Source organism: Homo sapiens, chromosome 1 (genome assembly GCF_000001405.40).
Source record: "Homo sapiens chromosome 1, GRCh38.p14 Primary Assembly".
NCBI classification, from domain to species: Eukaryota; Metazoa; Chordata; class Mammalia; order Primates; family Hominidae; genus Homo; species Homo sapiens.
This window is the reverse complement of record NC_000001.11, coordinates 225,598,958-225,621,847: the sequence shown is the minus strand read 5'-3', so window position 1 is coordinate 225,621,847 and position 22,890 is coordinate 225,598,958. Positions and strand designations below refer to the sequence as shown.

General features: G+C 40.3%; 1 protein-coding gene across 35 annotated transcripts in view, besides 1 other annotated feature; it reads left to right on the top strand.

The window, feature by feature from the left end:
• The window catches only part of ENAH (ENAH actin regulator), a 167,050-nt gene that overhangs the window by 32,031 nt on the left and 112,129 nt on the right, over positions 1–22,890 (top strand). The window contains exon 1 of one of the 35 annotated variants that reach the window (XM_024448316.2): positions 1,126–21,640. The exons of the other annotated variants lie outside the window; for them this stretch is intronic. The gene's annotated coding sequence lies outside the window, so the exon portion shown is untranslated. Of the gene's footprint in view, positions 1–1,125; positions 21,641–22,890 lie in introns of those variants that run through there. 35 annotated transcript variants of the gene reach the window in all.
• Positions 6,292–7,122: an enhancer, noted in NCBI's record as "H3K27ac-H3K4me1 hESC enhancer chr1:225802428-225803258 (GRCh37/hg19 assembly coordinates)". NCBI's record gives its function as "activates a minimal SCP1, AML or CMV promoter by ChIP-STARR-seq in naive H9 embryonic stem cells {active_cell/tissue: H9 hESC(naive)}" and the evidence as "EXISTENCE:reporter gene assay evidence [ECO:0000049][PMID:30033119]".

Genomic DNA, 22,890 nt, shown 5'->3' with positions numbered 1-22,890 from the left:
AAGGAGGATAGGTATGTCACAGAGAGTAACTAATTTCTGATTAGGTGAAACTGAAGCTGTGTGCTGAGGTAAATGGTAAATTTAGGAGTGACTGCTTGGGATTTATTCAGTTAGAGGTCCATGTAGCAGGTGGGAAATGTTTGTATTTGATGTGTGCGGTTAACAAAAGCCAATGAAGAATTTGGGAGATTGAGTGACTGGGCCATTATGGTGTATATGTAAAATAATCTTAGTGGTTGATTAAGAGATAGATTTAGGCCGGGCGCGGTGGCTCACGCCTGTAATCCCAGCACTTTGGGAGGCCGAGGCGGGCGGATCACGAGGTCAGGAGATCGAGACCATCCCGGCTAAAACGGTGAAACCCCGTCTCTACTAAAAATACAAAAAATTAGCCGGGCGTAGTGGCGGGCGCCTGTAGTCCCAGCTACTTGGGAGGCTGAGGCAGGAGAATGGCGTGAACCCGGGAGGCGGAGCTTGCAGTGAGCCGAGATCCCGCCACTGCACTCCAGCCTGGGCGACAGAGCGAGACTGCGTCTCAAAAAAAAAAAAAAGAGAGATAGATTTAAAGAAGTAATTCCCATGGCCATACTGAGTCAGAAGGGTGATAAGTATAATGAGAATGGTTGGTGTGAAAGGTCACACCAAGGTTCTGGAATTTGGTAATAGGATGATAGCATTGTCACTCTTAAAAAGATGATTAGGCAAGTGGACATGGGTGAAGATTTTCCCAAGGAGATTTGTTTTAATTCGGGACACATTTTATCAAATGATAGTATATCACCATAAGGAAGGAGGCTTTCAAAGACTACAAAGGACTATCTCCACACTTTTTTTTCTTTTTTTTTGATGGAGTCTAGCTCTGTTACCCAGGCTGGAGTGCAGTGGTGAGATGGCGGCTGACTGCAGTCTCTGCCTCCCAGGTTCAAACGATTCTCTTGCCTCAGCCTCCTGAGTAGCTGGGAATACAGGCGCCCGCCACCATGCCCAGCTAATTTTTGTATTTTTAGTAGATACGGGGTTTCACCATGTTGGCTAGGCTGGTCTTGAACTCCTGACCTTGGGTGATCCGCCCACCTTGGCCTCCCAAAGTGCTGGGATTACAGGTGTGAGCCACTGCACCCGGCCCTATCTCCACATTTAAGGAGCTTATGATCTGATTGAAGTGAACATACCTTCAGAAAATAAGATAGATCTGATAGAAAGTAGCAGGCTGAGATTGAGGCTCCAGATTTGGTAATTGTGTGAAAACAAGAATGAATCAAGTATCCCAAGTTGCATGGAAAAGTAGTGGGTTTGTATTAGAGGCCTGGGACATTTTTGAGACAGTTTTGCTCTTATTACCCAGGCTGGAGTGCAGTGGCCGATCTTGGCTCACTGCAACCTCCGCCCCCTGGGTACAAGCGATTTTTCTTTTCTGCCTCAGCTTCCCAAGTAGCTGGGACTACAGGCATGTGGCACCACGCCCAGCTAATTTTTGTATTTTTGGTAGATACGGGGTTTCACCATGTTGGCCAGGCTGGTCTCAATCTCCTGACCTTGTGATCTACCTGCCGCGGCCTCCCAAAGTGCTGGGATTACAGGTGTGAACCACCGCGCGAGGCCTGGTACTTTTCTAGTGACGAAGTGTTGAAACCGCTGGTGGTCACATTGAAAAGCATTCAGAGATACTAGATCACATTACATCTTAATTGCAGATAGTTCCAGCTTTCAAATCAGATTTTTGGTAGGAGCTTAGCACATATCTTTCTGTGGGAACTGTGTTATAATGAGGGCTAGTACGTTCTCAAGTAGTACACACAAGGCCATTTAATGCATCGTATCCTTGAAGTATGTGTTACACTATTAGGCTAAACTGTAAGAAATTACTGTTTTTGGAAGTCACAGATCACCAGATGTTGGCAGTTTCACATGGTTCAATCCGGTACATTTAATTATCACCAGACATTTTTTTTTAGCTTAGTGAATTTTTAAAATTTATTATCATTTATGTACTTTTTATTTCAATACTTTTAGGGTACAAGTAGTTTTTGGTATCACCAGACATTTGATGTCTATAATTTATTTGGGAAGACACTGAGACTGCAGAATTGACCTGATAGCTGTGTTTTAAAAGCATTTCTCTGAGACCATTCAGGGTTTTAAATTGGGATGTCTGAGACTGAAGGCCCTTCTGCCCCAGGGATTCTCCTTAATCCCAAGTTTCTGATGGGTTTTCTCTCTATAGTCATCCTCCTTCCCCTGATCCCCAAAATAAGACTAGGGAGGTGGGAGTATTTTAGGGTGGTGTTTCTCTTTTCTGTTTTTGAGATGGGGTCTTACTCTGTTGCCCAGGCAGGAGTGCAGTGGCAGGATCTCAGCTCACTGCAACCTCTGCCTCTCAGGTTCAAGTGATTCTCCTGCCTCAGCCTCCCGAGTAGCTGGGACTACAGGTGCTTGCCACCATGCCCAGCTAATTTTAGTATTTTTTAGTAGAAACAGGGTTTTACCATGTTGGCCAGGCTGGTCTCAAACTCCTGACCTCAAGTGATCTGCCCGCCTTGGCCTCCCAAAGTGCTGGGATTACAGGCGTGACCCACCGTGATTGGCAAGGGTGGTGTTTTGCTAACTGTAGGTTAGTTTTTCTAACTGTAGGTTTTTAACAGGATTTATCACAAATGAAAGACAATAGAAAATATTCAGGAAACATTGCACATGGTAATGGCAAGTGTTTCATGAAACATTTAGTGTCTGTGCATTTGTGTGTGTGTGTGTGTGTACTGGGTTGTATATGCAGTGTATTTATTTATCACAGGCCTTAAACATTTGAGTAATGCTGATTTGGGAGATGAATTGATGTAGGCTTGGCATCTTGGGGATAGAAGGTAAGCCATTGTAGGGGTCCTCGGACTTCTTTAACCTTTTGCCCTCCTATTGTGGGCCAGAAAGTAGGCCTTCTCTCTCTCCACTGGTGCCATCAAACTCCTCTGAACTCTGGCTCATGTCTTTCCTTTACCTGCATGTAACGCAATGTAATTTAGTATAGAGTAGAATCCTTTGGAATTTTTTTAAAGGTGATTCCTGGTAGTTGCTGGTATAAAGGTGGTTAAAAACAGAAAACCTAAAGCACAGAGATAGTGTTCTCATTTAAGTGTTTTAAGTAGAACATGAAACTTTCTAAGTTGAGTTTTTGTAGAGTGATCACTGAGAATTCATCTATATTTCAGAGGAAAACAAGAAAGACTGGTAGGTAGGCACTTGATAGATTTGTGGAATGGGTGGAGACAGTTCTGAGCACCTGTCTAGGATCAGTGAACTACGTATTAGTGAATATGAAGCAGAAGTTGATAGTAGGAACAGAGAGGTGATTATCTTCCCCTTTTTTTCTGTGCTGTACTATCTTGGAGAGGTGAGGAGAAAAAGGTTCCAAATTGGCCACTAGATGATTGAAAGAAGTCCCTGTGGCCAATTTTGTATCTGGATGACCATTCTTTTTTAAGTGAGATGCGTGAACCTTTCATATAAAGAGCTGCTGGCAGGATATTGTTTTATTAGGTTTTAGGGATATTGGCCCATGGTTCACTTTTTCTTTCTCCCCAGTTTTTGGAAAAGTTGATTGCTAGTAAGGCTGATTGCTTTCAGGGAATTGTCATTTTCCTCCGGGGGATGTTTGGATGAGAATGGAGACCAGTTTGGCAAGGGCAACAGCTGTTGAACAATCTGTTTGGGATTAGGTGCAAGTTGGTATGTAGTGGAAATCTGCCTCCTGGTTCCTGAAATTATGTTCCTTTGCCTCAAGGATAAATGTTTTCCTGCTCATTCCAGTTACATTCACTTAGTTCTGGCTGGTAATGCTTCTGACTGATAACTTTCCTCTTTTAAGAGAGCTTCCTTGAAAGAATAATTGATAGCTACGATGAACAATTAAAAATGTTATGCCTTCCCTTAAGATTTTGCTCAGGATTTAATCATAGGTTGGTGGTAACAGAACCTTTCAGTTCAAAATTAGCTGTATATTATCTAACCATTTTGGTAAGGGGAGAGACTTAAGGTGCTTTCTGATGGTTTAGATGGCAGTATCACATGAGATTTATTCATATTGTGTGTTGGAATGTAAATTCTAATGACCTTTGGAAGCATTAGTAGTAAAATTTACTTAGCTGGCTATTCCTAAGCTTACTAGTGAGTTGGAGTTGCATGCGTGAATCATACCTCTGACCAGTTGTGATGATACAAATTAAGTTGAGTTTAAGGAAGAGACTAAATTAATTGCCATCCTGTCACCACACTGTCCACTTAGCACTGTACAGCTAAGATCCTTTCAGTTTTTTAAAAAATACTTTTTTAATACCACAGATATAAGAACCTGCAATGGGTGCTTTTAATTTGGGTTTATGCTGACCTTTATGTATCAGATAATGTGTCTAAATCCTGAGCCAGGATCCTAGTAACCCCAATTTCTATCTAAGCATAGTCTAAAAGCTGTCACTCAGTACTAGAACGTCTTTTGTGGTATGAAAGGATAATGTATAGGGCCTGGAAGTACACTTACATATTTGCTTATTTGGTTAGGTTGTTATTTTGTGAATAGAATTTAAATTCACTTTTAGAAGTAATGTCATAGTTGTCAGTGGACATGTATATTTCAACTAACTATAAGGAAGACAGATGGAAATGTCCTTTTCTTTTTCGTGTCTGATAATGCATTTGCATTTGTTGATCTGAGGTCAGCACTTAAGTTGGACATCTTCAAATCTTTTTTTTTTTTTAATTGAGATGGAGCCTTGCTGTGTTGCCCCGGCTGGAGTGCAGTGGCATGATCTTGGCTCACTGCAACCTCTGCCTCCCAGGTTCAAGCGATTCTCCTGCCTCAACCTCCCGAGTAGCTGGGATTACAGGTGCCTGCCACCACCTCTGGCTAGTTTTTGTATTTTTAGTAGAGACAGGATTTCTCCACTTGGCCAGGCTGGTCTTGAACTCCTGACCTCAGGTGATCTGCCCGCCTCAGCCTCGCAAAGTGTTGGGATTACAGGCCTGAGCCACCATGCCTGGTTTCAAATCTTAATTTAATGGGTGGAGTTAGTTTTCCAATCACTAGTAGAAACTCAGTAACCATAAATTTTGAATGCTTGTATTTTATTGGAGTCTGGAATTACCACCTCCAGAGATATTTAGATTGACTTTGTAGTTCTGATTGGTGGTATCACTTTTGATTTTTGAGCATCTCAATTAGCTTATCTTTTCCTAGAAGAATATTTTATCTTCAATTTTTATATATAGATGCAATATATAATTATAAATACTATATATAACATGTACTTGTGAATCCGCATTTCAACCATACATCAACATAGAGTAGTTGTAGTTAGGTTCCTTTTTAAATGTATTTTAATTTGAAATTTACTTGTATGAATAAACTCATTCATTAAATTTTTTTCTCAACATTATTTAATATTGACATATTGTCACCAGTGAGTCTGAAATAATTCTCATGCCTTAAATGTGACTATTTCAAAGTATTACTCTTTTTTTTTTTTTTTAAGTATTTATTGATCATTCTTGGGTGTTTCTCGGAGGGGGGATTTGGCAGGGTCATAGGACAATAGTGGAGGGAAGGTCAGCAGATAAACATGTGAACAGGGTCTCTGGTTTTCCTAGGCAGAGGACCCTGCGGCCTTCCGCAGTGTTTGTGTCCCTGGGTACTTGAGATTAGGGAGTGGTGATGACTCTTAACCAGCATGCTGCCTTCAAGCATCTGTTTAACAAAGCACATCTTGCTCCGCCCTTAATCCATTTAACCCTGAGTGGACACAGCACATGTTTTAGAGAGCTCGGGGTTGGGGGTAAGGTTATAGATTAACAGCATCCCAAGGCAGAAGAATTTTTCTTAGTACAGAACAAAATGGAGTCTCCTATGTCTGCTTCTTTCTACACAGACACAGTAACAATCTGATTTCTCTTTCTTTTCCGCACATTTCCCCCTTTTTCTATTCGACAAAACCGCCATCGTCATCATGGCCCGTTCTCAATGAGCTGTTGGGTACACCTCCCAGACGGGGTGGCGGCCGGGCAGAGGGGCTCCTCACTTCTCAGACGGGGCGGCCGGGCAGAGACGCTCCTCACCTCCCAGACGGGGTGGCGGTCGGGCAGAGACACTCCTCAGTTCCCAGACGGGGTCGCGGCTGGGCAGAGGCGCTCCTCACATCCCAGACGGGGTGGCGGGGCAGAGGCGCTCCCCACATCTCAGACGCCGGGCGGCCGGGCAGAGACGCTCCTCACTTCCCAGACGGGCTGGCAGCCGGGAAGAGGCGCTCCTCACTTCCCAGACTGGGCGGCCGGGAAGAGGGGCTCCTCACATCCCAGACAATGGGCGGCCAGGCAGAGACGCTCCTCACTTCCCAGATGGGGTGGCGGCCAGGCAGAGGCTGCAATCTCGGCACTTTGGGAGGCCAAGGCAGGCGGCTGGGAGGTGGAGGTTGTAGCGAGCCGAGATCACGCCACTGCACTCCAGCCTGGGCACCATTGAGCACTGAGTGAGGGAGACTCCGTCTGCAATCCCGGCACCTCGGGAGGCCGAGGCAGGCAGATCACTCGCGGTCAGGAGCTGGAGACCAGTCGGGCCAACACGGCGAAACCCCGTCTCCACCGAAAAAATACAAAAACCAGTCAGGCGTGGCGGCGCGCGCCTGCAATCCCAGGCACTCCGCAGGCTGAGGCAGGAGAATCAGGCAGGGAGGTTGCAGTGAGCCGAGATGGCGGCAGCACAGTCCAGCCTCCGCTCGGCATCAGAGGGAGACCGTGGAGAGAGAGGGAGAGGGAGAGGGAGAGGGAGACCGGGGAGAGGGCATCAGAGGGAGACCGTGGAGGGAGAGGGAGACCGGGGAGAGGGAGAGGGAGAAAAGTATTACTCTTAAGGATTTGTGTATGGAGAAGGGTATTGAGGTTGTGGAATAGAGGTAGGATTGGTGTTGGAGGAAGGGTTACTTACCTTATGGAATCGGAAATTTGAGACAGGTTTCTGAGTGAAAATAGGTAAATGTGGTATTGTAATATAATAAGAAATACATATTTGGTCTCTGTTCCTGGTTCCTGGCACACAGCTCTTAAAACCCTTGGACTGACCAAAGTACTGTAATAAATGTCTTTTTGTATGCTAATGAGATGACTGGTGGCTGGGGCTCCTGGATAGCTTCAGGGTGGGGGAGCTGGTTGCTAGGAGAAGCAACCAACCTATCTCCTGGGAGGGGAAGGGGAAGAGCCTGAAGGATGAGTTGATAACCAGTGGCCAGTGATTTAATCAGTCATGTCTACATAATGAAGCCTCTATACAAACCCAAAGGATAGAGTCTGGAGAGCTTCCAGATGGATGAGCAAGAACACATCCAAGTGCAGCGATTGGGGGTACATCCCAGGTACAGGAGATCAGAAACTCTTGCTCTTAGGACCCTTCCAGACCTTCCCCATGTGTCTCTTCGTCTGGCTATTCATTTGTATCCTTTAAAATATTAGTATTGGCTGGGCACAGTGGCTCACACCTGTAATCCCAGCACTTTGGGAGGCCGAGGTGGGTGGATCACCTGAGGTCAGGAGTTCGAGACCATCCTTGCCAACATGGGGAAACCCCGTCTCTACTAAAAATACAAAAATTAGCTGTGCATGGTGGTGGGCGCCTGTAATCCCAGCTACTTAGGAGGCTGAGGCAGGAGAATCACTTGAACCCAGTAGGTGGAGGTTGCAGTGAGCCGAGATTGTGCCATTGCACTCCAGCCTGGGCGACAGAATGAGACTCCATCTCAAAAAAAAAAAAAAATCTTTCTAATAAATGGGTAAACATAAGTAAAGTGTTTTCCTGAGTTCTGTGAGCTGCTCTAGCAAATTAAACTCTGGGGAGAGCTTATGGGAACCCTGATTTAGAGCTATTGGGCCAGAAGCACAGGTCACAACCTGGGGCATGAGATTGGCATTAGAAGTTGGGGTGGTCTTCTGGGACTGATCCCTTAACCTATGGGATGTGATGTTATTTCCACATAGTGTCAGAATTGAGTTAAATCATAACTCACTTAGTGTCTGCCAGAGAATCTGGTGTCAGGAGTGTGTTGTGTGAGAGTAGAAAAAACACTGTTTTTTTCCCCATCTTTAATAATAAAATATGCTATAAGGTGTAGTAGAGCATTATCCCTTATTAGGAAGAGTTTATAATTAGTTATTTTTGTTGTTATGGCTGAACCAGACCTTTGCTTTGTTCTCAGAAAATATCTAGCAAAGTTACACATTTTCTTTGGTTCAATAAGTGTTGTTTGTTGATCTAGTTGTATATTTAAAAATAGTGTTAAAAATAAAATATGTGCTTATTACACATAAAATTGACAAACTGAAAAAGTAGAAGGAACAAGTTAATCAACAAATATTTATTATCTTCACAAATATTTATTATTACCACCAGGCACTGTTCTCTGCCCTGGGGAAATGGTGTTAAACAAGTCATGTACCCAGGGGGCTTACATTCTGGTAGCTGAATGGAGGAGAAGGATGTACCAATAAGTCTGTTATTCTCAGTAAGTGTGAAAAAGATAAAATGTGTAGTGAGAAAAGATGGGTGGTGAAGGCAAGGCCTAACTTGGTTGGGGTGGTCACGGAAGGCTTCTTAGGGAGGGACGTTTGAGTTGCTCTGAAAGATGAGGAGGCAGTCATTGGAGAGCAGGGAAAAGAGTACTCTAAGCAGAAGAGGTCCAAAGGCCTTGCAATGAAAATGAGCTTGCTTTGTTCAAGGGACAGAAAGTAGGAAGAAAATAGTGTCCGTAGCAAAACCATAGGACACATACTGAGTCTTTGTAGATGTATACTTTGGCTTGTATTTTTAGAATTTGTATTCTGCTGTTTTAATATTTGCTTCATAATATAAACATTCTTCATTTCATACCTTAGTAAACATTTTTAGTGTTGACACAATTAATTTTGTAAATGTATCGTGGTTGACTTACCCATTCCCCAATAGTTTGGCATTTAGATCCCTCCTCCCCCCCTTTTTTTTGCATTATTGTAAGTATTACAGTGAGCACTTTGGATATAAAACTTTTTTGCTTCTTACGGTTGGTCCTCAGAAGGCAAAATATAAACTGGGGCAAAGATATGAATTATTTAGTATTTATTGCCAGAATATTTGGCAAAAGCTTTAGTTTATGTTCCAATTACCAAAGTGTAGAGAGTGTTTACTGTATCCTGGCCAGCATTAAGTATTATTTTTGTTTTGAAAATTTTTTTTGCTGTGGGAAAATGCAGATAACATAAAATTTACCATGGTAACCATTTAAAAGTGTACAATTCTGTGGCATTAAATAAATCCACAGTGTTGTGCAACCATTGCCACTATCTACTTCCAGAACTTTTTCATCACCCTAAGTGGAAAACCTTGTACCCACCAAGCAATCATTTCCCAATCCCTGTTCCCCATCAACCCCTGGCAGCCATGAATCTGCTTTCTGTCTCCATGGATTTGCCTATTCTGGACATTCCATGTAAATGGAATTATATAGTACATGGCTTTTTGTGTCTGGCTTCTGTGACTAAGCATAAAGTTTTCAGGGTTCATCCGTGTCATAGCAGTGTCAGTACGTCTTCCCTTTTTATGGCTAATATTCCATCGTTTGGATATACCACATTTTGATTATTTATTCATCTCTTGATGGACATTGGGTCATTTCCACCATTTAGCTCTTGTGAATAGAGCTGCTATGAAGATTTATGTATAAGTATTTGAATACCTGTTTTCAGTTTTTTCGGACATATATCTAGGAGTGGAATTGGCCGGGTTACATGATAGGTAATTTTCCATTTAGCTCATTGAGGACTGGCCAAACTGGTTTCCCCGTTGGCTGTGTGATTTCACATTCTCACCAGCAGTGGATGAGGGTTTTAATTTCTCCATATCCTCACGAATACATTATTTTTAAATTTTTTGTGTTTTGTTTTTTATGATAGCCATCCTAGTGAGTGTGATTTTTGATTTCATTGTGGTTTTTTATTTTCATTTCCCTAATGACTAAAAATGTTCAGCATCTCTTCATGTGCTTGTTGGCCGTTGAGTATTATCTTTTTCTCACTCTGTCACCTGTGCTGGAGTGCAGTGGTGTGAACACAGCTCACTGCAGCCTTGACCTCCTGGGCTCAGCTGATCCTCCCACCTCAGCCTCCTGAGTAGCCAGGACCAAAGATGTGGGCCACCACACCTGGCTAATTAAAAAATTTTTTTTTTGTCTGGGCAAGGTAGCTCATGCCTGTAATCCCAGCACTTTGGGAGGCTCGAGGCAGGTGGATCACCCGAGGTCAGTAGTTCAAGACCAGCCTGGCCAACATAGTGAAACCTCATCTCTACAAAATATATAAAAATTAGCTGGGCGTGGTGATGCACGCTTGTAGTCCCAGCTACTCAGGAGGCTGAGGGAGGAGAATCACTTGAATCTGGGAGGCAGAGGTTGCAGTGACCAGAGATCGCGCCACTGCACCCCAGCCTGGGCAACAGAGCAAGACTCTGTCTCAATAAATAAATAAATACGTAAATAAATAAATAAATTTTTTTTTTTGGTAGAGACAAGGTTGCCCAGGCTGGTCTAGAACTCCCAGGCTCATACAGTCCTTCCACCTTTGGCTCCCAAAGTGCTGGGATTACAGGGACTATTATCTTTTTTCAACTTGAAATTTTTATTGAAATATAAGATGTACAGAAAAGGGCACATAGCACCAACTCAGTACACATGTGTAACCATCACTTTATGCCCTCTTCTAGTCACAGTCTTTCACCAAAGAGTAACCCCACCTGACCCAGAACAGCGTCAATTAGTTTTGCCTGCTTTTGTACTCATGTGAATAGAATCACATAGAACATATTCTGTATCTGCCTTTTTCGGCCTAACGTTAGATCTGTGCCGTTCATCTGTATCATTCATTTTATTCTATTGTGTGAAATACTAGTTTATTCATTCTAAGGTTGATGGACATTTGGATTGGTTGCAGTTTTTGGATCTTATAATGTCGTGAATATTCTGCTATTTGTTTTTTCTTGAGCGTGTATGTGGGCCAAATACAGCTTTTGGAGTGGTTGATCGTACTAGCGTTAAAATGTCGCCATTGGTGTAAATAATTCCTCTACTTTGTTGGCTGTTTCTTTTTTTTCTTTTAATTTTAGTTCTGTTTAGGCATGGAGAAGTTGTAAGTGGTTTTCTTTTGTTCATTTATTTGGTTAGTTTTAAGTTTGGATTGTGACCCCTTCATCCAGAGTTTTAAAATTGGAAGTCAGCTCTCTTGAGTCACATAATCTTGGTATGAAGTTTAAGATGAATGAAATGCAAGCATACTTGGGAAAAAAAAGAATTTTTTTTACTGGGGACCTATCGTTCTTTTCTTACCAAATGTTAAGAGTATCCCCCAATATTTTTATAGTAATTATAAAATCACAAATTTATTATAACCCCACAGTAGGTCCTAGAGACTAACTGGAACAGAAAGCAATATTGTTTTAATTGTTTGATCTTTGAGCTCTAGTAAACTTCTCTATCTTTTCTTATTTTCTTTTAAAATTACAAAATAATGCGTACATATTATAAAACATTTGAAAGTTACATAAGAAAATCAAAATAATGTCACTACTTGAGAGAAAATCACGTTAGTACATACACTTCCTGTTTGTTTTTAGGCAATGCTAGTTTTTTTTTTTTATTGAACATAATGTTCTATAATGTGATTTCCCCTAAATATACTGTGAATACTTTCCTCTGTAATTAAATATTATTCTAAAGCATGGTTTTAAAAAATTAGAGCATGATTTAAAAATTTAATTTTTATCATGTGGTATACATGTACATATTAATAATTTATATAGTCATGTAGTTTTACAAGGCTAATAAAAAAAGTAGGCCGGGCGCGGTGGCTCATGCCTGTAATCCCAGCACTTTGGGAGGCTGAGGCAGGCGGATCACTTGAGGCCAGGAGTTCAGACCAGCCTGGCCAACATAGCAAAACGCTGTCTCTACTAAAAATATAAAAAATTAGCTGGGGATGGTGGCGCATGCCTGTGCTCCCAGATACTCAGGAGGCTGGGCATGAGAACCACTTGAACCTGAGAGGTGGATGTTGCAGTGAGCCAAGATCGTGCCACTGCATTCCAGCCTGGGCGACAGAGAGACTCCATCTCAAAAAAAAAAAAAAAAAAAAAAAAAAAATCCATTTTTCCCTTTCCTGCTAGAATCCAGCTCTCAAGAGGAACCACTATCAACTGACATATTTCTTTGGTAGTTTTTAATTTCCAGATAACGTGTTTAAACTAACCTTTTTTGACTGTTTCAATTTTAGATTTATCTTTTGACTTGCCATGATGGAAGATAGTGGTTTAGCTGTTTTACATTCTCCTCCCCACGATGCATACTTTCCATCTTCTCTATATGGTTATATAACCAATTTTGGTTAATCAAAGTTTATATAACTATTCACATTGGAGCCATGCTGTGTACTATTTTAATATGGTTACTTTTTTTTTTTGAAACAGCTTTTTGTTTTAGCTGGATTTAATGAATCTTTGTGTTTATTTGTTTTCCATGCATTCATCACTTACTCAGCTCAGACTATACTACTAAAGTTTAACTCTCCTTTTAATATAATAAACACATCAGGTAATCTTTCAGTTTCTTTTTTTTTTATTTTGGATACCTCTAACTTTGTGTTCCAGTTGAACTGATTGCCTTCTTGGCTTGCTTCCTGGAGTGGGATTTTTACCATTTTCATGGGAATTCTTTCAGCCTTATTCTGTTGCTTTTCATTGTAGCTCCCTTAGAAATAAAGCATGGGAAGCAAATTCTTTGAGACTTAGAATATTTAAGAATATCTATTAGAGCCTACTCTTGATAGATAACTTGGCTGTATTTACAAGTCAAGGTTGGAAATTATTTTTCTTCAAAATTTTGAAGGCATTACTCAAGTGACTTGTTTCTAGAGTTGCTCTGAAAAGTCTGATGTCATTTTGATTCCAAGACCCCCCTCCTTTTTTTTTTTTTTTTTTTTTTTTTTGAGACAGAGTCTCGCTCTGTCGCCCAGGATGGAGTGCAATGGTGTGATCTCTGCTCACTGCAACCTCCGCCTCCCGGGTTCAAGCGATTTTCCTGCCTCAGCCTCCTGAGTGGTTGGGATTACAGGTGCCTGCCATCACACCTGGCCAATTTTTGTATTGTTAGTAGAGACGGGGTTTCGCCATGTTGATGAGGCTGGTCTCGAGCTCCTGACCTCAGGTAATCTGCCCGCCTCTGCCTTCCAAAGTGCTCAGATTACAGGCGTGAGCCACGGTGCCTGGCCTCCAAGACCCTTATAAGAAAGCTGTTTTTTTCTTTCTGGAAACCTTTAGGATCTTCTCTTATTCCTGGTGTTCTGAAATTTTATAATGATATTTCTTAATGTGAGTCTTTGTTTAAAAAAAAAAAAAAGTCTGTTGTGCTGTGCCCTTGATGGATCTTTTTATTTTAGAAACATGCCCTTCAATGCTTAGAAAGTTGTTTCTTTGGTAATGGACTCTGAAAAGGGAGAACTCCTTGTTAGGGGGTTTTTGGGTCTTCTGAATTCTTTTATCTACTCTTTGCTGTCTGATTTTGTCTTTTTTTTTTTTTTTTTTCTGTTTTTTATATTCCAACTCCTTTATTGGATTTAAAGTTTCTGCTGTCTTTAATTTGAAAAGCTTTTCTTTTGTTTTATGAATGTTTCTTTTAATCATTCTTATTTCACGGATGCGTATCTTTTTTTCGACCCTTTGAGGATATTATGATTCTGTTCCTTGCGTTGTTTCTTTTTTTCCCTTGCTCTGTTTTGATTCCTATCTTTCAAATTAAAGGTTTTCTTAAATGTTTGATGTTCCTTGCCTATCTGTTCAGACTTAAGCCTGAGGCTTTTAAAAAAGTTTTTATTTTTAAAGCAAGTTGGGAAGTCTTTCCATGGTATGGGCCTGTGACATGGTCTTCCTCTCTGAGGGATGAACTGGTGAATCTGGCTTTCCGTGGGGACCCTCAGCTGTCAGTGTCTCCAGGTCTCTCTTTTTTAGGCTGTTTTGTTTTCCTGTCTAAGCTTGACTGCCAGAATTCTGTGGTGAATTGGGGAAAAGGAGGGTGGTGGGTGGGTGGTAAGTTATCATTCAGTATTTAGGCTTGCATTTAATCCCCATCATACCTCCCTCAGAATGCCTTTGTTTACAGTCTCTCCTGTGTAAACTTCCCAGAGTAATGGGCTGAGTGTCTGATGGCATTGTTTGGGTTATGATATCTGGGATTTCGATGAATGGCTCCGTATCTAGAATTTCAACCAGGTGTTTTTTTTTTTTTTTTTTGCCCCCCACCCTGCTCTGGATTCCTGAACTTTTCTAGGCTTTATTCTTGGTACATTCCCTCAGTAATTCTGCTAGACAGTTTCTGTTTTCTTCAGCCTACTAAGTCAGTTACCTCTAATCCATCTGCTTTTCGGCTTTCAAAATTGTGCTTATATCTAGAGCAAGCTTGTCCAACCCATGGCCTGTGGGCCACATGTGGCCCAGGATGGCTTTGAATGTGGCTCAACACAAATTCGTAAACTTTCTTAAAACATGAGATTTTTGTTTTGCGATTTGTTTTTTTTAAGCTCATCAGCTGTCGTTGTTGTTAGTGTATTTTACGTGTGGCCCAAGTCACTTCTTCCAGTGTGGCCCAGGGAAGCCAAAAGATTGCACACTCCTGATCTAGAGTCTGCTGTAGTGTCCTCTTCTGTTTGTTTGTAGTCTCTGCATTTATAAATTATTTATTATTTAGTGTTGGACTTGTAAGAAACACTCTGCTCCACTCTGCCGAGGAAAAGGTGAGCTATTGTGGTGAGGCCTTCACAGGTCTGTGTGCCTGGCACTCTCAGCTGCATTATTCAGGACCTTGGGCTGTACGTAGTTATTTTATTGGATTTGTGTGAGAAGGGCTAGTTTTGTGATTGGTTAAGTTTATTGAAAATAATTTTTTTTTTTTTTTTTTTTTTTTTTTGAGACAGAGTCTTGCACTGTCGTCCAGGATGGAGTGTAGTGGTGTTATGTTGGCTCACTGCAATCCCTGCCTCCTGGGTTCAAGGGATTCTCCTACCTCAGCCTCTCAAGTAGCTGGGACTACAGGTGCACTCCACCACGTCCAGCTAGTTTCTGCATTTTTAGTAGAGATGAGGTTTTGCCATGTTGACTAAGGCTGGTCTCCTGGCCTCAACTGATCTGCCTGCCTTGGCCTCCCAAAGTGTTAGAATTATAGGCGTGAACCGCTGCATCTGGCCAAAAGTTGACTTATTTTGAATGGACTACATTATAGCTTAACTAGATTGTACGAGTGCTTATCAACTAATATGTTAAAATATGGTAATTCCTTTTTTTTTTTTTTTGAGATGGAGTCTTGCTCTGTGTTGCCCAGGCTGGAGTGCAGTGGTGCGTTCTCAGCTCACTGCAACCTCTGCCTCCTGGGTTCAAGCAATTCTGCCTCAGCCTCCCGAGTAGCTGGGATTACAGGTGCCTGCCACCACGCATGGCTAATTTTTATATTTTTAGTAGAAATGGGGTTTTGCTGTGTTGGCCAGGCTGGTCTCGAACTCCTGAACTCAGATGATCCACCTGCCTCGGCCTTCCAAAGTGCTGGGATTACAGGCATGAGCCACTGCACCTGGCCAAAATATGGTAATTCTAATAGGTCACATTCAGGTGTATTTTTTTTAATGGTCTAATATAACATTAAAAGTATTTGTGAAAAATTCCATTTTGGTATTTTAAGCATAATCTATCCAAAAGGAACATTAAAAAATAATAATAAAAGGGGAATGTGAGGTTTAGGTTTTTAAGATGTTCAGTATTTTTAGGTAAGAGTGTTGTAGTAGTTTGCTAGGGCTGCCATGACAAAATACCACAGACCCAGTGGCTTAAACAGTACTTTCCTCACAATTCTGAAGGCTAGAAGGTCAAGGTGTTGGCAGGGTTGGTTCCTTCTGAAGCCTCTTTCTTGGCTTGCAGATGGCTCTCCTTCTCTGTCCACAGTGATCTTCCCTCTGTGTGTGTCTGTCCTAATCTTCTTATAAGGGCACCATTCATATTGGATTAGGGCCCACCTGTATACTCAGTTTACCTCAGTTACCTCTTTAAGGCCCTGTCTTCAAATACAGTCACATTCTGAGGTAATGGGGGTAAGGATTTTCACATGTGAATTTGGTGGGTGTTGGAGGGGCACAGCTCAGCACATAACAAATATTTTTATTATCTCATGCATTTAAAGGAGTATCATTTCTGATACACTTCAGAAAGGAATGTATTAGTGTGATGAAGTGGAAATAACTCGGACATTGTAGTCAGATAGGTAGGCCTGGTTTGAACTCTAGCCTTGCCTCTTAATAGTTCCCTAAATTTTTGTAACTTCTCTGAGACTTGCTTCCAAATCTATGAACTGGGAGTAACTGTACATCACAGAATGATGGTAAGAAATTAAGGACGATGTATGTTAAAAGTGCCTGACATCGAGTTGACTTCTAAATATTATGTTCTTACTGGTCTTTTCTCTCCCCCACTCCCCAAAGTAGTGTTTTGTATCCTTCCCCCTTATTTAATATCAGAAGGTGTCAATTTCGAGTGTAGATATGTATCATTTTAAAATTGCTTAGTCTTTCTATTCACAAGTGGTTGAATATCAGCAGTTTCTTAAGATTCAATCTACAATTGTATTTACCCAGTCGCTTGTCAGAATTTCCAATCATCATGTAGTTCAGTTTAACATTTTACATGCTTTAAGTGAAACCTACAGAAGTGTAATCTGCTGAGTCAGTGGATATTCACGTTTCAAAGGTTCTTGATGCATAAGGACAAGAGCCTTTGCTTTTTTATCAGCAAGGTATGAGGATGCCCTTTTCCCACTCTAACATTACTGTTTTCTCCTAAGTATCAAAGTCTAAAAGGATATCTTGTTTTATTTAACTTGCATTTCTTTACTAGCTAGCTTTAATGTTTTTCATATCTTTATCAGCCCTCTCTAAATCTTTTATCAATTGTCCTTTTTTTGTTTGTTTTTGTTTGAGACAGGGTCTTGCTGTGTTGCCCAGGCTGGAGTGCAATGGCGCAATCTCGGCTTACTGCAACCCCTGCCTCATGGGCTTAAGCGATTCTCCTGCCTCAGCCTCCCAAGTAGCTGGGACTACAGGCACCCACCACCATGCCTGGCTAATTTTTTTTTTTTTTTTTTTTTTGGTAGAGACGGGGTTTTACCATGTTGGCCAGGCTGGTCTCGAACTCCTGACCTCAAGTGATCTGCCCGCCTCGGCCTCCTAAAGTGCTGAGATTACAGGCGTGAGCCACTGCGCCTGGCCACATTTGTACAATTTTAAAATATTGTTTTTTTCTAGTGGATAAGGCACACAATAGTAGTCTCCCTTTGTTTAATAGCTGTCTGGGGCATATTTTCCCACCTATTTATTTACCCCCATTTATATTAAGCCCTCATTTTCCTCCTTTAGCTCTGCCTGCCTGTTCTCCCTCAGCAAGTCATTGACATTTTCCAAAGTTAAGAGAAACAGTAATAACTTCACTGAATAAAAATAGTGAGAGAGCCTGGACTTTGATTATGTCCAGAATACCTCCTAAGAGTGTTATTTTCAAAGTCAAAGTGATAAGGAATTTTGGTTTTTATGTCTGCCACTGAAAGTAGCTTGTTTAAATTTGAGTTTAATTAGTAGAATGACAGTGTTATTACTCATAGTGTGTAGTGTTATTAAAGATTCTTTGGCATACATGCAAGTTTTTGCTTATTAGAAGTTTCTAGTTGAAATTATAGCACTCACAAAAAGTTTTGAATAAATAAGATTTAGAATGAGTGACCCCTGAAAACCTGGTATGCAAAAGGCTACTGGGTAATAATTTCATTAATTTTATACCACATGTGTGATTTCACCATACTTTTTTTGTTCCTTGTGGTTGATTCTAAGTGATCAGCAATTTTTATTTTGACCATTTAAACCCATAGCCATTAGCTACTTAAATTTGTGAAATTCTTTGTAGTGATTTCAGTTTTACAAGTTTGTATCTTGGCTGATGGTCTAATTTTGAAAACTTTACATTTGGTAGATACCAATGTTTTTCTTAATGTACTTTTTCACAGTCCTTCTGATTGATTTCAAAGTGTTGTCTTTGAAAATAAACATGACTCATAGCACTTGGGTAGCCAGAGCATGCCTGTAATGAATGCCTCTGTACATTTTGAGGCTGTGGTAGAATAAACATAGCAGTTCCTTTCCTTTTTGAAATGGAAGTTTGATACTAGTACTGAATTTAAAGATGAACAGAGCTTAGTTTTGGAGAAAGAGAAAAGCACGGTTATATTTGCAGGTACACTTTTTTCTAACTTTCATTGACTATTTTTGAGTGTTAATGTGTAATTATTAAATTAATAAAAGTAATTTTATAGAAGCTGCAAATTACCATATTTCAATTTATTTCAGGGGTTATTCTTTTAATAATTTAGGAGCTTTAAAGTATGTATCTCAAGCGCTATATAATAAAGAGCCATCGGTGTAGTTAAACTTTTGAGCTTTTAAGAAGTTATACATATAATTCTAAATATTTGCTTAATTATTTATTTTTACTTAGGGAGAATGACTGCTTAAAGGTTGAGTCTTCACATTTTGGATAGCCAAGAACCATTAACAAATTTCTATTGTTTTTGCCATTGATTTGTGGGTACCTTTTAATCCTTTATTATCATTTAGTTCTTTGTGTCCCAGAGTAAGTTCTCATTTAGTTCTATTTGGGTATTTGTTTTTGTGCTCATATCTCTTACTGTTGGCTATACTTCATAGTATGTTTTAATATCTGGTCAAGCAAGTTTATTTTTTTTTTTGAGGTTGATTTAGCTGTTGGTTAGCCTTTATTTTAGCATGAACATTGTAGGCTGTTTATTGAATTCTTTAAAGAATCAAACTGGCAATTTGAGATTGCATTACATTTATAGATTAATTTTGGTGGAGAAATGTTATTCTATTTGTGGATTGTTTTGGTTCTTCTAGATAGATGATGATGTCATCAGCAGCAGTGACAGTTTTCTCTCTTTCTTTTCAAATGTTACACTCTTATTTTTTACAGTGTTGGCCAGTCTGGCACTGTGCTAGACAGCATGGTCATATTTGTTGACATAGGGAAAGGCTTTTGAAGTCTCTATTTTATATTTGTTATACGTTTTTGATATATATATATAACCTTTGCTAAATTAAGGAAACTCCCTTCTATTCCAGGTTTGCATAGATTAAAAAAATTATTAAGTAGGTTCTTCTTTTGTCCAGTTGTTTTCCTGCTTCTATCAAGATAACCACCTGAGTTTTTTCTTTTAGCCTTTAATAATTAACAACAAAAAAACACTGTTGGATTTGATTAGTCAGTATTTTATTTAGGCTGTAACTTTATAGCATTGTTATCTGGTTTTAGATTCAATACTAGCCTGATAAAAATGACCGTAGCTTTTGTTCTTTTTAACTTTCTGAAACAACTTGTATAAGATAAGAATAGAATGTTTCTTAAAAGCTTAGTAGAATCCACCTATTAAAAAAAGGTCTCATCACGGAGTTCGTTTTGTTTTACTTTGTTGGGAGAAGAGCATTGCCATTTCAGTTGCTTTAATCTTTTGATCTGTTTTTCAACCTGTTTTCTTTCAATCTATTCAAATCCTCTTTATTTCTTCTGATAATTTTGTCATTTCTCTTCTTTTGGATCTTCTTTGTCTTTTTCTTGATGAATCTTACTAGAATTTTATCTAGGCTATTAATATTTACCAAGAAACAGCTTTTGGTTTTGTTATCTTCTTAATTGTTCATTTGGACTAGATTTTCATTGATTTCTGTCCTTTATTATTTCTTTCCTTTTTATTTATTTGGCTTTTCTTTGTTAGGCTTTTCTTTTTTTTCACCTTCTTATTTCTGGTAAATGTTTAAAGCCATATATTTTCCTCAAGTTCTTCCTTGGCTCTAACATATATTTTCTAAATGTTTCCTGATTTTTATTGATTTCCTTTTTAACGTAAGGGTTATTAAGTTATATTTTTTTTAGTTTCCAAATTTGAATATTTATAAAAATTATTGATTCCTGAGTTCATTGTATTATATCAGAACATAATCTGTATGCCCTTGTGCCTACCACATGGTTTAGTAATATAAATGTTTAGGGTATGTGAGAAAAAAAATGTATCCCCGTCCATTGGGATGTATTTCTTTGACCTAAGGAAGTGTAGGTCATTGCTTTTAGGACTTTCTTTTTTAATATAAGTATTTTGTAATTGGAACCTTCTCTTTTTTTTTTTTTTGGCGGGGAGATGGAGTCTCACTCTGTCACCCAGGCTGGCGTGCAGTGGCGCCATCTTGGCTCACTGCAAGCCCCGCCTCCCAGGTTCACGCCATTCTCTTGCCTCAGCCTCCCAAGTAGCTGGGACTACATGCGTCCGCCACCACACCCGGCTAATTTTTTGTATTTTTAGTAGACACGGGGTTTCACTGTTAGCCAGGATGGTCTCAATCTCCTGACATCGTGATCCGCCCACCTCGGCCTCCCAAACTGCTGGGATTACAGGCGTGAGCCACCGTGCCTGGCCGTAATTGGAACCTTCTGTTTGTACTGTTGAGAACTTGAATTTTTTTGCTTATATTTTGTCTGCTTGATCTATCAGTAGTCTGAACAGAGTTGATTAAGAGTAATTGTTGATTTTTCTCTGACAGTTCTGTTAATTGTTGAATATATTTTAAGACCTGTTTGAAGTGGGTAGATATATTTTGCTGTCATTTTCATCACTATATAGCCTCTTCTTCATGTATTTTTAAATCCCTTTTAATTTGCTTTTTTTGGGGAAAAATTTCAGACCTTTAAGAATGTTGTAAGAATGTTACAAAGAAAATTATTTTGCTCATCATATAGCTTTACCAATTAATATTCTTTCTTTTTCTTTTTTTTAGTCTTTTTTATTTCCTGGTAAATGTTTAAAGCTATATATTTTCCTCTTAAATCTCCCAGGCTGCAGTGCAGTGTTGTGATCACAGCTTACTGCAGTTTTGAGCCCAAATGATCCTCCCACCTCATTTCCCCCAGTAGCTGGGACTCCGGGCGCACACCACATGCCTGGCTAATTTTTTAATTTTTTTGTAGAAATAGAGTCTCACCTTGTTGCCCAGGCTGGTCTTGAACCCTTGGGCTCAAGCAATCCTCCCACCTCAGCTTCTCAAAGTGCTCAGATCACAGGCATGAGCTACTATTCTCAGCCTTCTCTAACTTAAGAAGGAAGCTCACTTAGGTCGTTGCTTTTAGGCCTTTGTATTAGGTTGGTGGAAAAGTAATTGCGTTTTTTGCCATTAAATGTGGCAAAACCACAATTACTTCTGCACCAACCTAACATAAGGATTTAAAACTATAAATTTCCCATTAAACATTACTTTAGCTGCATCTATTTTTTTTCTTATTTATTATTATTTTTTAGACAGAGTCTGACTGTTGCCCAGGCTGGAGTGCAATGGCACCAACATGGCTCACTGCAACCTTGACCTCCTGGGCTCAAGTGATCCTCCCGGCCTCCGTCTCCCGAATAGCGGTCTTACTCATTTTCTACGTGTGTGTTGAGTGCACCATTTGAGAGTAAGTCACAGTGTTAGTCCATTTTGTGTTGCTCTAAAGAAATAGCTGAGACTAGGTAATTTATAAAGAGAAGAGGTTTAATTGGCTCATGGTTCTGCAGGCTTTATAGGAAGTGTGGTGCCAGTATCTGGTTGGTTTCTTGTGAGGCCTCAGGGAGCTTTTACTCATGGCAGAAAGTGAAGTGGGAGTAGGCATGTCACATGGGGAGAGAGAAGAGGAGGACCCAGGCTCCGTTAAATAACCAGCATTCCTAGCTCTCAAGTGAGCTGACAGACCAAGAACTTACTTTATTACTACAGGGAGGGCGCCAAGCCATTCCTAGGGATCCTCCTCCCCCATGATCCAGACACCTTCCTTCAGGCCCCACCTCCAATAAAGGGGGTCACTTTTTTTTTTTTTTTTTTTTTTTTTAAGACGGAGTCTCGGCCCTGTCGCCCAGGCTGGAGTGCAGTGGTGCAATCTTGGCTCACGGCAACCTCTGCCTCCGGGGTTCAAGTGATTCTCCTGCCTCAGTCTTCCGAGTAGCTGGGATTACAGGCGCCTGGCTAATTTTTTTGAATTTTTAGTAGAGACGGGGTTTCACCATGTTGGTCAGGCTGGTCTTGAACTCCTGACCTCAGGTGATCTCCCCACCGCAGCCTCCCAAAGTGCAAGGATTACAGGTGTGAGCCACCGCACCCAGCCAGCAATCACATTTTAACTTGAGATTTGGAGGGGACAAACATCCAAACCATTTAAGTCACAGCACTTTACTCCGCAGTGTGAATAACACAGGCATTCTCCTACATAATCACAGTACAGTTATCATACTCTGGAAATTGAATATCATCTAATATACTTTCCATACCCAGATTTTCTTAGATTTCCCAATGATATTTCTTACTGTCCTCCCTTTAGCCTTCCTCTTTCTCCATTCAGGATTCTACCATTACATTTCATTTTCATGTCTCTTCAGTCTCTCTTTAGCTTTGTTTTTCTTTCTTGATGTTGCCACTTTTAGGAGGCCAGGCCAGTTGTTTTGTGAAAGATCTGTTCTCTTTGATATGTTTCATTTTGGATTTGTTTCATTGTTTTTGCATGAATGGATTCAGGCTAAACATTTTTGGGCAGGACTGTTTATTGTATTACCTAGTGATGTGTTCTTTTCAGTCCATCATCTGGAGGCACCTGATGGCAGTTTTCCCAATATTGCGAAATTAAGTTTGATTATTTTGTTAAGGTAGTGTCCACCAGATCTCTCCATTTTAAAG